This window comes from Homo sapiens, chromosome 5 (genome assembly GCF_000001405.40).
Source record: "Homo sapiens chromosome 5, GRCh38.p14 Primary Assembly".
NCBI classification, from domain to species: Eukaryota; Metazoa; Chordata; class Mammalia; order Primates; family Hominidae; genus Homo; species Homo sapiens.
The window spans coordinates 176,434,909-176,449,314 of NC_000005.10; the positions used below are offsets into that span (position 1 = coordinate 176,434,909).

Here is a 14,406-nt window from a genome sequence, read left to right on the forward strand (position 1 = left end):
CCAAAACAATTTTAGAAAAGAGCAAAGCTGGATAACTAACAACCTGATTTCAAGATTTTGTTTTTTTGTGTTTTGTTTTTTGTTTTTGAGATGGAGTTTCACTCTATCGCCAGGCTGGAGTGCAGTGGCGCGATCTCACCTCACTGCAACCTCCAACTCCCTGGTTCAAGCCATTCTCCTGCCTCAGCCTCCCGAGTAGCTGGGACTACAGGCACGCACCACCACACCCAGCTAATTTTTGTATTTTTAGTAGAGACGGGGTTTGACCATTTTGGCCAGGACGGTCTCGATCTCCTGACCTCGTGATCTACCCACCTCAGCCTCCTGAAGTGTTGGGATTACAGGCATGAGCCACTGTGCCCAACGTCAAGATGTTCTATATAGCTACGGTAATCAAGACAGAATGGTATTGGCATCAAGATAAACAGATAAATAACGAGAATAGAGTCTAGAAGTCTTACACATGTACAGACCACTGCAACAAAGTTACAAAGGCAATTCAGTGGAGAAGGATAGTCATCATCATTATCATTATTAATATTTTAGAGACAGGGTCCCACTCTGTTGCCCAGGTTGGAGTGCAGTGGTGCGATCCTAGCTCACTGCAGCCTCCGCCTCCTGGGCTCAAGTGATTCCCTCACCTCAGCCTCCTGAGTAGCTGGGACTACTGGCACACGCCACCACACCCAGCTAACAGTATACTTTTTGATGCTTAAATTTCCCAGTCTTTGGCCAGTGGAAGCCTCTTCAAACTTGTTCCAATGTCATTAACATTCTGATGTTTTGATGTTTCAGGTAACAACTTTATTGCTTTCTGGTACAGCAAGGTGTTTGTGGCTCATCCTCTACATGTCCTGCCCCAGACTGGAATTAATCATTTCTTCAAAGGGTTTTGTAACCTTTGAGTGGGAAATGGTATTTAGAAAACACTAGGTGGGCACCTCAGGCATTAATTTTTTTTTTTTTTTTTTTGAGACGGGGTCTTGCTCAGTAGCCCAGGCTGGAGTACAGTGGTGCGATGTCGGCCCATTGCAACCTCCACCTCCCAGGTTCAGGTAATTTTCCCACCTCAGCCTCCTGAGTAGCTGGGATTATAGGCACACATCACCATGCCCAGCTAATTTTTGCATTTTTTTGAGTAGAGACGGGGTTTCACCATGTTGGCCAGACTGGTCTCGAACTCCTGACCTCAGGTGATCCACCCTCCTTGTCCTCTCAAAGTGCTGGGATTATAGGCGTGAGCCACTGCACCTAGCCTGATTATTTCTTATAAACCTCTTTAGTCAAGAAAACTAGGAAATACAGTTTCTGTTTGAAAAAGAAAACGCACTGTAGTCTTACTGTCTTACTGATATTTCTTTTTTTTTTTTTTTTTTTGAGACAGAGTCTTGCTCTGTCGCCCAGGCTGGAGTGCAGTGGCGCGATCTCGGCTCACTGCAAGCTCCGCCTCCCAGGTTCACGCCATTCTCGTGCCTTAGCCTCCCGAGTAGCTGGGATTACAGGCACCCACCACCTCGCCCAGCTAATTTTTTGTATTTTTAGTACAGATGGGGTTTCACCGTGTTAGCCAGGATGGTCTCCATCTCCTGACCTCGTGATTTGCCCACCTCAGCCTCCCAGAGTGCTGGGATTACAGGCTTGAGCCACGGCGCCTGGCCTCTTACTGAAATTTCTAATTTAAATTTAAAATAATGTTTTTACTTAATCTCTTTGATTTTAGATCTATGTATTTTTTCTTTCACCAAAAATCTTGGTTCCAATGCATAACATATTTACTCTTTTTTGCTGTCTCCATATATACACAGTAGTCCCTTATAATTCTTGGTTTCACTTTCCATGGTTACAGTTACTTGTGGTCAACCACAGTCTGAAAATATTAAATGGAAAATTCCAGAAATAAACAATTCATAAGTTTTGAATTGAGGAGCGTGATGAAATCTTGCATCCTCCCGTTCCATCCTGTATGGGATGTGAGTCGCCCCTTTGTCCAGCGTCTCCATGCTGTATACACTCCCCACCCATCAGTCACTTTGCAGTTGATCTGATAACTCTGCAGTTAACAGATCAATTGTTGCGGTTCTCAGTGCTTTTGTTCAGGTTCCCCTTATTTTACTTAATATTGGTCTCAAAGCTTAGAGTAGTGATGCTGGCAGCTCAGATACGCCAAAGAGAAGCCATACATTCCTTTCTTTAAGTGTAAAGGTGAACGTTCTTGATTTAATAAGGAAAGAAAAAAATTGTATGCTGAGGTTGCTAAGATCTATGATAGAAACAAATCTATCCATGAAACTGTCAAGAAGGAAAACGAAATTTGTGCCAGTTTTGCTGTCACACCCCAAACTGCAAAAGTTACACCGCAGTATGTGTTAAGTGCTTAGTTCAGATGGAAAAGGCATTACATTTGTGGGTGGGAGAGATGAACAGAAACAAGCTTCAAGTGACAGCATTCAGATTTGGTACTATTCGTGGTTTCAGGACCCACTGGGAGTATATATTTAAGTGCATGCCTGTGTGTGTGTGTGTGTGTGTGTGTGTGTGTGTGTGTGTGTGTGTGTGTAGCAATATCAGGCTGGGCGCAGTGGCTCACGCCTGTAAATCCCAGCACTCTGGGAGGCTGAGGCAGGCAGATCACTTGAGGTCAGGAGTTCGAGACCAGCCTGGCCAACATGGTGAAACGCTGTCTCTACTAAAAACTAGCCGGGCATGGTGGCGTGCGCCTGTAGTCCTAGCTACCTGGGAGGCTGAGGTGGGAGAATCACTTGAACCCGGGAGGTGGAGGTTGCAGTAAGCTGAGATCACACCATTGCACTCCAGCCTGGGCAACAGAGCAAGACCCTGTCTCAAAAAAGAAACAAAAAACAAAACAAAACAAAAATAAATAAAATCACAATATCAATATTATTACTGACACTAGGATTATTTAAAACCATTTCAGATTTCTTTGCTTTTCTTTTTGTTCTCAGGATATAACCTATAAGGAGTATATAGGTCAGACGTGGTGCCTCATGCCTGTAACCCCAGCACTTTGAGAGGCCGAGGCAGGCAGATCACCTGAAGTCAAGAGTTCAAGACCAGCCTGGCCAACATGGTGAAACCCTGTCCCTACAAAAATACTAAAGTTAGCTGGGCATGATGACAGGCGCCTGTAATCCCAGCTACTCGGGAGGCTGAGGTGGGAGAATCGCTTGAACCTGGGAGACGGAGGTTGCAGTGAGCCAAGATCACACCATTGCACTCCAGCCTGGGTGACAGCACGAGACTCCGTCTCAAAAAAAAAAGGAATACATAGACATTACCGTATGGCTTTTTGTTTTTGTTTTTTATTTTTTGAGATGGAGTCTCATTCTGTTGCGCAGGCTGGAGTGCAATGGCGCAATCTTGGCTCACTGCAACCTCCGCTTCCCGGGTTCAAGTAATTCTCTTGCCTCAGCCTCCCGAGTAGCTGGGATTACAGGCATGTGCCACCACACCTGGCTAATTTTCTCATTTTAGTAGAGACGGGGTGTCACCATGTTGGCCAGGCTGGTCTCAAACTCCTGACCTCAGGTGATTTGCCTGCCTTGGCCTCCCAAAGTGCTGGGGTTACAGCCGTGAGCCACCGCGCCCGGCCACATTACTGTGTTTTAAGTTCACTTGAATTTGTTATTTTTGGCTGGGCTCGGTGGCTCACGCTTGTAATCCCAGTACTTTGGCACTTGGAAAGGCTGAGGCAGGCGGATCACCTGAGGTCAGGAGTTCGAAACCAGCCTGGCCAACATGGTGAAATCCTGTCTCTACTAAAAATACAAAAATTAGCCAGGCATGGTGGTGGTGCGCACCTGTAATCCCAGCTACTTGGGAGGCTGAGGCAGGAGAATCTCTTGAACTCAGGAGGCAGATTTCAGTGAGCTGAGATCATGCCACTGCACTCTAGCCTGGGTGACAGAATGAGTGAGACTCCATTCAAAAAAAAAAAATTCCTTATTTTCTCTGTGGTTGGGTCACTAATTTGATATTTAATATCGTAGAGAATATAGCCTGACTGAAAGCTCACATGCTTATACTTTACTGGGGAGAGTGATTTCAGGGAATCAGGCCTGAGGGAACAGGAAAGTGAGGCAAGGAAAACGAGAGGGCTAATTCGAGGGGCTGCCTACTGCTTGGTGCTAAGTGTGTTGGTCAATCCCATGGTCTATTCCCAGAGAGCCAACATGAACGACTGCAACACGAGACAGCTCACCACACAGCAGGAGATGACAAGATGTTATCCGGTGGCTCCTGTCAACAAATCAACTCAAATAAATGAGTCAGGCATGGTGGTATTTGCCTGTGGTCTCAGCTACTTGTGAAGCTGAGGTCGGAGGATTACTTGAGCCCACGAGTTTAAGACCAACACCGGCAACTTAGGGAGACCCTGCCTGTATACAAAATACAAATAAAAAAAATTAAGAGGGCATGGTGGCACACACCTGTGGTCCCAACTATTTGGGAGGCTGAAGTGGGAGGACTGCTTGAGTCCCTGAGGTCAGGACTACAGTAAGCCGTGATCACACCATGCACTCCAGCCTAAGAGACAGAATGAGACCCTCTCTCTCTCTCTTTTTTTTTTTTTTTCTGTGAGACAGAGTTTTATTCCTGTCACCCAGGCTGGAGTGCAGTGGCGCAATCACGGCTCACTGCAGCCTTGACCTCTGGGGCTCAAGCGAATCCTCCTGCCTTGGCCTCCTGAGTAGCTGAGACTGTTAATGGTGGAGGAGTTCCAGGTTTTTGGCATCTTGAACAAAGAATTGGACAAAATACACAAAGAAACAAGGAAAGAATGAAGGGATTTACTGAAAATGAAAGTACACTCCACAGTGTGGGAGCAGGCCCAAGTACAGAGGCTCAAGGACCCCATTACAGAATTTTTGGGAGTTTAACTATCCCCTAGAGGATTCCATTGGTTACTTCGGGTACACCCTATGAAAATGGAGAGAATGAAGTAAAGTTACAAAGTTATTTACAACATATGCCCTATGGAGAGGATATTTCCTGTTATAGCTGAAGTGTAAATCGGCCTTATGTTCCCTGCCTCCAGACCCTATTTTCCTGCCCCAGGACTATCAGCATGTGCCACTGTGCCCAGCTAATGTTTGTATTTTTTGTAGAGAGGAGGTTTCACCATGTTGCCCAGGCTGGTCTTGAACTCCCAGCCTCAAGGAATCCACCCTCCTCAGCCTCCCAAAGTGTTGGGATTATAGGCATGAGCCACTGTGCCCAGCTGAGATACTATCTAAAATAAATAAATAAATATATAAATTCCACTGACAAAGATTGTCTTTTTTTTTTTGAAACGGAATCTCTCTCTGTTGCCCAGGCTGGAGTGCAGTGGCGTGATCTTGGCTCACTGCAACCTCCACCTCCTGCGTTCAAGCGATTCTCCTGCCTCAGCCTCCCGAGTATTTGGGACTACAGGCACCCACCACCACATCCGGCTGATTTTTGTGTTTTTATTAGAGATGGAGTTTCATCATGTTGGCCAGACTGGTCTCAAACTCCTGACCTCGGGTGATCTGCCCGCCTCGGCCTGCCAAAGTGCTGGGATTACAGGCGTGAGCCACCACGCCCGGCCAAGGATTGTCTTTTTTAAAAAAGAGAGACTTCATTCCAGTGAACAGTTTGCAAACCAGAGAGATGCATCCTTCAGTGAAAACAAAGGTGCCTTCTGAGAGAACAAAGAGAGGGGTTGTCTTTTACAAAGAAAGCTCTGCCCATGTTCTCACTATGGTCCACTTATGCAAACGAGGGATGCAATCTTTGACTGATGCTTGTTGTATTCTGATTTGTCGATACAGGTCATAGTCTACTGATTAGGTCTGTGTCTTGGTCTGTTTGTGTTGCTCTAAAGGAATGCCCAAGACTGCATAATTTATAAAGAACAGAGGGTTATTAGGCTCACGGTTCTGCAGGCTGTACAAGAAGCATGGCACCAGCATCTGCCTCTGATGAGGGCCTCAGGAAGTTTCCACTTATGACAAAAGGTGAAGGGGAACAGGCTTGTGCAGATAACATGGAGAGAGAAGAGGCAAGAGAGAGGGGAGGAGGTGCCATGCTCTTTTCAACAATCAGTTATCTTGAGAGCTAAGAGTGAGACCTGCCTCCCTCCCACAAGAACAGCATCAAGTTATTAATGAGGGATCCACCCCTATCACCCAAGCACCTCCCACATGGCCCCACCTCCAACATAGGGGATCAAACTTCAACATGAGACTTGGCGGAGCCAAACAAACCATATTCAAACAATAGTAGTTCAGGAGGCGAAATGGGATTTTCCAACAGTCGTTATTTCTGGCAGGATGAACAAGAACAGACAGCTATGAAAGTCCCAACATTACATGAGCATGTGGGTTCCTGGGAATGCAGGATACGTGGGTGACCTAGAGTCAGTGAATGGCCGCTTGGCTGTATTTTGAATTCAGGCCCACTTAGCCACTCAGGATCCATCTTGAAGGACTGGCTCTTTCAGGGTTCACACTCCCATCTCTTAATGGCCAAAAATTTGCCCCACGGGCCATTACTTCCCCTGCACTTCTGGGTCACATGTGGGTAGGCGCTGCGCTGGTCCATGGTGTCTCCTGCTCCAGTAGCAATAGAAAAGCTCCAGGGCGGGAGTCAAAGCCTGTAGTGCACATGCAAGTGACATGCTGTTGCACTGGGTCTGTGCAAGCTGGTCACCACGGAGGTGGCCAGACAGAATCCATCCAAGTAGAACTGATCAGCACAGAAGTGGCTGGGGGTGCAACAAGTGACCAAGGGCCTTGGAGATAGGTAAGACTGCAAAGATCTCAGGTGAAATGTAAGAGATGTTGGATGCAGTCCCTCCCTTGCACTGCTCACTCCCTCCCGTTATATCCAGTCCTACAGTTCTCCACGACTGTAGGAACAAAATGCCCTCATTCCTTCCAAGAGGGACGGTAGGAGTCCAAACATTCATAAAAATCCCTTTTCATTTAGTAGCCAGCAACAATCTACAAAGACTTAAGGTGAGCTAGCTGGTGAAACAAACTAAGCTCTCTGCAGCTGCAACTGGTCCCAAGGCTGTAAGTGATAATCGTCATCTCCTTCCTCCATTACTCATTCGGCATTTCCCTCACCCTTGGCTAGTACTTTGGTTGGCCTGATGCTTTTCCAGCCTGGGCAATCCAGACTTTTATTTTGGAAGGGTCTCAGCCTTTAATTACCTTCCCTTGTCAGGCTGTGGTTGTGGCAATTGCTTGTTTTCCGTTATCACTGGGTGTGGAAGTGACAAAAGATGTCCCAGTAAGTCCCCTGAGCTCCAGACACACTCCTGACTCTGTGGTGTATAACAGCAACCCTGGCCCCTCATTGTAAACAGGGGGATTACCCTGCTGGTCTGACAACTCCTCCACTCGCAGGTTTACGGCATGAGGTGTCCAAAGTGTCCAGGTGGTCATCGCAGCAAGCAGTTCAATGGAAACTACACTGTCTCCTGGGAAACATGCCCTCCCAACCAGGCAGAGGCTAAGATTGTAGGGACAATTTAAATGCAAATGGGTTATTTAAACCATCTGTAAGTAGGTCTGTTGCTTTTCCTCCCTTTCCCATTCTGCCAGCTCAGGTGTTATTTAAACTTGTTCACAGTTCACAAATCACGCAATTTTTTACAAACAGATTTTTTTTTTTTTAGAGTCTCGCTCTGTTGCCCAGGCTGGAGTGCAGTGGCGCGATCTTGGCTCACTGCAAGCTCAGCCTCTGATTTACTTTGCTTATTATTTTTTATAGACACAGAGGTCTCACTGTGTTGCCAAGGCTGGTCTTCTGGGCTTAAGCAATCCTCTTACCCTGGGTGGAATTTTTAAATCCACTTTGGATTAAAATATAAACTGGGTTTGGTGGTGCAGACCTGTTAGACCAAGCTACTTCAAAGGCTGAGGCACAAAGATCGCTTGAGTTCTGGAGTGTGAGACCAGCCTGGGCAACATGGTGAAACCCCATCTCTACAAAAAGTACAAGAATTAGCCTGCTGTGAGCAATCCCATTACTGGGTGTATACCCAAAGGAATATAAATCATTCTGCTATAAAGACATATGCACACGTATGTTCATTGCAGCACTATTTATAATAGCAAAGACGTGGATGCCCATCAATGATTGAATAAAGAAAATGTGGAACATATACACTATGGAATACTATGCAGCTATAAAAAAGGATGAGATCATGTCCTTTGCAGGGACATGGATGAAGCTGGAAGCCATCATCCTCAGCAAACTAACAGAGGAACAGAAAACCAAACACCACATGTTCTTACTCGTAAGTGGGAGTTAAACAATGAGAACATGTAAACACAGGGAGGGGAAAAACACACACGGGGCTTGTCTGGAGGTAGGGGGAAAGGGGAGGGACAGCATTAGGACAAATACCTAATGCATGCGGGGCTTAAACCTAGAGGATGGGTTGATAGGTGCAGCAAACCACCATGGCACATATATACCTATGTAACAAACCTGCACGTTCTGCACATGTATCCTGGAACATAAAGTAAAATAAAATAAAATAATAAAATCAAAGAATTAGCCTGGTGTGGTGGTGTGTGCCTGTAGTCTCAGCTACTTGGGAGGCTGAGGTGAGAGGATCGCTTGCACCCTGGAGGTCGAGGCTGCGGTGAGCCATGATCATGCCACTATACTCTGGCCTGAGCAACAGAGGGAGGCCCTGTCTCAAAAAAAAAAAAAGAAAAGAAAAGAGAAAAGAAAATAAAAGAGGAAAAAAAAAAAAAGAAAAGAAGGCCAGGCACAGTGGCTCACGCCTATAACACCAGCACTTTGGGAGGCCAAGGCGGGTGGATCACCTGAGGTCAGGAGTTTAAGAGCAGCCTGGCCAACCTGGAGAAGCCCATCTCTACTTAAAAATACAAAAATTAGCCGGGCTTGTTGGCATGTGCCTTTAATCCCAGCTACTTGGGAGGCTGAGGTAGGAGAATCGCTTTAACCTAGGTGGCAGAGGTTGCAGTGGGCCGAGATAGTGCCACTGCACTCCAGCCTGGGTGACAGAGCAAGAATCTGTCTCAAAAAAAAAAAAAAAAAGTAGGCTGGGTGTGGTGGGTCACGCCCGTAATCCCAAGCACTTTGGGAGGCTGAGGCAGGCAGATAACGAGGTCAGGAGATGGAGACCATCCTGGCTAATATGGTGAAACCCCGTCTCTACTAAAAATACAAAAAAATTAGCCGGGTGTGGTGGCGGGCGCCTGTAGTCCCAGTTACTTGGGAGGCTGAGGCAGGAGAATGGTGTGAACCCAGGAAGCGGAGCTTGCAGTGAGCCAAGATTGCACCACAGCACTCCAGCCTGGGCTACAAGAGCAAGACTCCGTCTCAAAAAATAAAATAAAATAAAATAAAATATAAATATAAATAAAAAAAAGAAAAGGCAAGCCAATAACTGGTAACACTTTTCACACTCTTCATCTTGAACTTATCAAAAAAAAGTTTGAGTTTCTTCCCAGGTCTGCTTCTTCCATGGCAAACAGAGGCTATGAGGCTTCTTCCAATTCTGGTTGACTTGCAGAGTAATTTTCTTGAAATTGACACCTTTTTTTGAATTGAATTAGTTCACACCTTTTTCTTTTTTTCTTTTTGTGACGGAGTTTCACTCTTATCTTCCAAGCTGGAGTGCAATGGCGTGATCTCGACTCACTGCAACCGCCGCCTCCCAGGTTCAAGTGATTCTCCTGCCTCAGCCTCCCAAGTAGCTGGGATTACAGGTGCGGGCCACCATCCCTGGCTAATTTTTCTATTTTTCATAGAGACGGGGTTTTACCATGTTGTCCAGGCTGGTCTTGAACTCCTGACCTCAGATGATCCACCCACCTCGGCCTTCCAAAGGGCTGAGATGACAGGCATGAGCCACCGCGCCTGGCCAACACCATTTTTAAATGGGGGGATTTCACATGGAAATCCAAATGTGTAGAGTTTTTCTTTTCAAATTAGCATATTTTACTTTTTAAGGTGTACAATGTGATGTTTTTCAAATAAAATGTATCATGTAGGACATGATGTTTTGAAATATGTGTACTTTGTGGAATGGCTAAATCAAGCTGATGAACATATGCATCACCTCACATTTTTTTGGGGGGGTGAGAATGTCTGTGCTCTGAAAAAAAAATGGGCAGTTCCGGCAATACATGGAAGCCATCCTCCACAGCTAAAAGGCAGAAACCGTCTGTTTTTTGTTTTGTTTTGTTTTTGTTTGTTTTTTTGAGACAGGGTCTTGCTCTGTTACCCAGGCTGGAGTGCAGTCATGACTATGGCTCACTGCAACCTCTGCCTCCCGGGTTTAAGTGATCATCCCTGCCTCAGCATCCTAACTAGGTAGAACTGCAGATGCGTACTAACACACTCAGCTAACTTTTTTTTTTTTTTTGAGACAGAGTCTCGCTCTGTTGCCCAGGCTGGAGTGCAGTGGCACGATCTCGGCTCACCGCAACCTCTGCTTCCCAGGTTCAAGCGATTCTCCTGCCTCGGCCTGGGACTACAGGCATCTGCCACCATGCCTGGCTAATTTTTTTTTATTTTTAGTAGGGACAGGGTTTCACTGTGTTAGCCAGAATGGTCTTGATCTCCTGACCTCAAGATCTGCCCGCCTCAGCCTCCCAAAGTGCTAGGATTACAGGTGTGAGCCACCGTGCCCGGCCCACACTTGGCTAATTAAAAAAAAAAAAAAAAATTGGTAGAGGCAGTCTCACTATATTGCCTAGGCTGGTCCCCAACTCCTAGGCTCAAACAATCCTCCCACCTTGGCCTCCCAGAATGCTGGGATTACAGGCATGAACCACCGCGTCTGGCCAAAAACCACCTTTGGACAGGGAATGGACACTCCGGCTTTTCATATTTTGTCCCCACACGGAGACACATTAAAGTAGAGTTTTAAACAAATGAATTATTTCTTGTAACCTAATCTTTATTGAAAGAAGAAAACAGGGCCAGGTGCGATGGCTCACGTCTGTAATCCCAGCACTTTGGGAGGCCGAGGCGGGCGGATCCCGAGGTCAGGAGATCGTAGACCATCCTGGCTAAGACGGTGATACCCCATCTCTACTAAAAATACAAAAAAAAAATTAGCCGGGCATGGTGGCAGGCACCTGTAAGCCTCAGCTACTCAGGAGGCTGAGGCAGGAGAATGGCATGAACCCAGGAGGCAGAGCTTGCAGTGAGCCAAGATCAGGCCACTGCACTACAGCCTGGGCGATAGAGCAAGACTCCGTCTCAAAGAAAAGAAAGAAAGAAAGAAGAAAACAGAAAGATAGAAAAAGAAAGTGTAACTTTCTTTGAGGAAGTGAAGAAATATTCAATGGTGTTTCATATAACTACAAATTAGGTCTGTTGAAAGAATATGTTACCCAGGCTGGAATGCAGTGGTGTGATCACAGCATACAACAGCCTTGAACTCATGGCCTCAAGTGGTCCTCTCACCTCAGCCTCCCGAGTAGCTGGGACTACAGGCATTTGCCACCATGCCTGCTGGCAAGTATATATCTTAAGTGAGAATTACACAATTCCTGAGGACATCTGACTTTGCCAACCCTCATTTAGTTTATCTGAACCCAACGTTATTGGTGAGATTGAACAACACTGAGTTTCCTTTGAGCTTTGAGCTGCTGTAATAAATTCTCTATAGAGTAGCAGCTATCTGCTTCCGATTTTACCTTCGGGGGTTTTTACTTAATTGACATATTATTTATTTATTTATTTATTTTTGAGACGGAGTCTCACTCCGTCGCCCAGGCTGGAGTACAGTGGGGCAATCTCAGTTCACTGCAACCTCCGCCTCCCAGATTCAAGCGATTCTCCTGCCTCAGCCTCCCGAGTAGCTAGGACTACAGGCGTGCGCCACCAACCCTGGCTAATTTTTGTATTTTTAGTAGAGACAGGGTTTCGCCATGTTGGCCAGGCCAGTTTCGAACTCCTGACCTCAAGTGATCCGCCCGCCTCGGCCACCCAAAGCGCTGGGATTACAGGCGTGAGCCACAGAGCCCGGCCGACACCATTTTTAAACGGAAAGATTTCATATGCAGATCCAAATTTGCAGGGTTTTTGTTTTGTTTTGTTTTGTTTTTCCAATTAGCACTTTTTGGGGGTTGTGTTTTAGGGCGTACCATGTGCTGTTTTTCCAGGACGTCGTGGTTTGTGCAGACCTGGTAAGACCTGATAAGTCCTGAAAGAAGTAGCCAAAATTTCATGTACTCTTCACAGAACCAGCTCTCAAAGCCTTTTCTGTCTCACCGGATCAACCCTGCAAGGGGACGAGGGTGGGGCGCAGGCGGCCGAGAGCCTTGCTGAGAATCACACAGGTGGTCAGTGGAAAAGCGTGTACCAGACCCAGGCCTCTCTGGAAGGTGGGCAGAGGAGGCGTTCGGCGGGAGAGGTGGAAATGAAAACGGGAAATCTAAAGAGAGGTGGCGGACTAGAAGGGGCAAGGGACGTGCAGAGGAAGATAGAGATTGAGGGGTGGTGATAGGGTAGTGTAAGCAGCAGAAGGGAAGGGCAGGGGACTGCCTCGAGGAGAAGGGGCGGCGGCAGCACGTCAGGGGCTTTTGGGGAATCTCATTCAACAAATGGCAAAATGGAGCCCAAGTGGTTTGCCCAAGGATGTCCAGCAGTTGGCAAGGTGGCAACTAGAACCCGCGTCTCCTAATCCCGGTCCAGGGATCTTTCTTCGCCTGTCACAGAGACAAGGGGCCAGTGCAGCGCTAGTGCGGAGAGACAAGGCTCCAGGCACGGAAAAGCAGATGCCGGGCCGGGGTTCCAGCGCCGCAGTCACGGCGGTGGACGGCAAGCTGTGCGGACGACTGGGGGCGCCATGAATGGTCGAGGATCCGGGGAGCCGAGTCCAGATCTTCCTGCAAGTGACCCCGAAGCGGCAATGGAACGGTGGCCGAAGTCTGCCCACAGCTTCCGCTTCGAAGGCGGCGTCGGAAATGCCGCGCCAGTATCCAGAGCCCTTCGGAACCTCCCGAGAGATGGTCAGGAGCTTTTGGAAACTTTAGGTCAGGGGCCAGCGACCAAAAGGCTGGTATTTCGGAACGGCTGCGTCTCCCGAGAAACCTCCAAGAGTATCTGAGGTTGCCGGAAAATGGTTAGAGAGCAGCCGAAATCAGCCGAATGCCATTCGGGATGCTCCGGAGCTTCTCGAGGCACATTCGGGCCCTCTCGGCTCTGCAAGACTGCACTGGAATCTTAGGTCTCCTTTCGTCGCCTAATCTTAGCAGATCCTTTCGTCGCCTAAATGGTAAGAGCGACTTGTACCGACAGTCCCTCGGCAATTTCCGGAAGTGTTCGGGATAGGCCCGAGCGTGGCGCCCTCTGGCGGCGGCCAGAGGTGGCGGGGGGCGGGGGGAGGTTAGTGGGCCAGCGCGCGCAGACGCAGTTGCGCGCCGGCGGCCGTTCAGACCGGATGTGGTTGTGGCTGAGGTCAGTTCCGGCGGGTGACGGTGCGGACGGGTCAGGAGCGTAGAGGCGGCGGCAAAATGGCGGCGCCTGAGGAGCGGGATCTAACCCAGGAGCAGACAGAGAAGCTGCTGCAGTTTCAGGTAGCAGCGAGTACTCGGTGCAGCAGATGCCTCCGTGGGATGGGGAGTAGGCCCCTAGAGGAGTTCAGAACCCTCCTCAGATTGGGTTCAGATCCTTCTCAGACCAGCAGGCCGGCCCCCTCCCCCCCAGACTCCAACTGCCCTGATTCCCCCGGCCCCCAAGCCTCTGTTGGACCCTAGCCTTCCAGCCATCGCTGCGGGCAGACCCGCCTCGTCTGTGCCTCTGTGCCCTCAGCGTGTCAGCTTCCCTGGTTTGCCTTAGCGGCGTCAGTCCTCAGCCATCCTTCCCAGCCCGGTTATCGGTCGGACCCTCTCCGCCCAACGAGTCTATATCTGCCGGAGAAGCTTAGTCCCCACCGCGGAGTTGGCGTCATTTCGGGTCTCTGACAGGAAAACCTCCTGCCAGCATCCCATGCCATTTCCACATACACTCCCACAAACTGGGGCCTCTTGGATACCAGGTTTCGTGTTGGGGGTTCCGGTCGGGGAGGGGGCACCTACACACAGATCTGGTCCCCGCCCTAGAGGTGTGGGAGGACACCAAGTGAGGAAACAATGCAAGATGATAAGTGTCATCAGTGGTCTGTCGGGATTTATTACTTTTGGCTTATTCCTGGATTCCTGTGCTTAACTATGCTTGAGGAGGGTGGTAACTTGCAGAAATGTTATGTTAATACAAGATGTTGTATTAAGAACATTTGCCACTGATCACTTACCCCTGAGCTGGAGAATGGTTGGAGGATACCACTAGGGTGGGTAACCTTGGCACTTTGTTACCAGTTTCCTTATCTCTGAAAGGACTGTCTTAAAAATGTCTACCCCCAGGCCAGGAGCGGTGGCTCAC

General features: G+C 48.1%; 1 protein-coding gene across 2 annotated transcripts in view, besides 4 other annotated features; it reads left to right on the forward strand.

Moving 5' to 3' along the window:
- Window positions 12,858-13,047: an enhancer, noted in NCBI's record as "active region_23684". NCBI's record gives its function as "activates an Ori minimal core promoter by ATAC-STARR-seq in GM12878 lymphoblastoid cells {active_cell/tissue: GM12878}" and the evidence as "EXISTENCE:reporter gene assay evidence [ECO:0000049][PMID:35858748]".
- Window positions 13,128-13,187: an enhancer, noted in NCBI's record as "active region_23685". NCBI's record gives its function as "activates an Ori minimal core promoter by ATAC-STARR-seq in GM12878 lymphoblastoid cells {active_cell/tissue: GM12878}" and the evidence as "EXISTENCE:reporter gene assay evidence [ECO:0000049][PMID:35858748]".
- Window positions 13,368-13,417: a silencer, noted in NCBI's record as "silent region_16653". NCBI's record gives its function as "represses an Ori minimal core promoter by ATAC-STARR-seq in GM12878 lymphoblastoid cells {active_cell/tissue: GM12878}" and the evidence as "EXISTENCE:reporter gene assay evidence [ECO:0000049][PMID:35858748]".
- Window positions 13,477-14,406, forward strand: part of FAF2 (Fas associated factor family member 2) — a 61,690-nt gene continuing 60,760 nt past the window's right edge. For both annotated transcript variants that reach the window (NM_014613.3, XM_011534475.4), the window contains exon 1: window positions 13,477-13,562. In NM_014613.3, the coding sequence (NP_055428.1) occupies window positions 13,500-13,562 (63 nt within the window). In that variant the 5' untranslated portion in view covers window positions 13,477-13,499. The remainder of the gene's footprint in view (window positions 13,563-14,406) is intronic.
- Window positions 13,498-13,557: an enhancer, noted in NCBI's record as "active region_23686". NCBI's record gives its function as "activates an Ori minimal core promoter by ATAC-STARR-seq in GM12878 lymphoblastoid cells {active_cell/tissue: GM12878}" and the evidence as "EXISTENCE:reporter gene assay evidence [ECO:0000049][PMID:35858748]".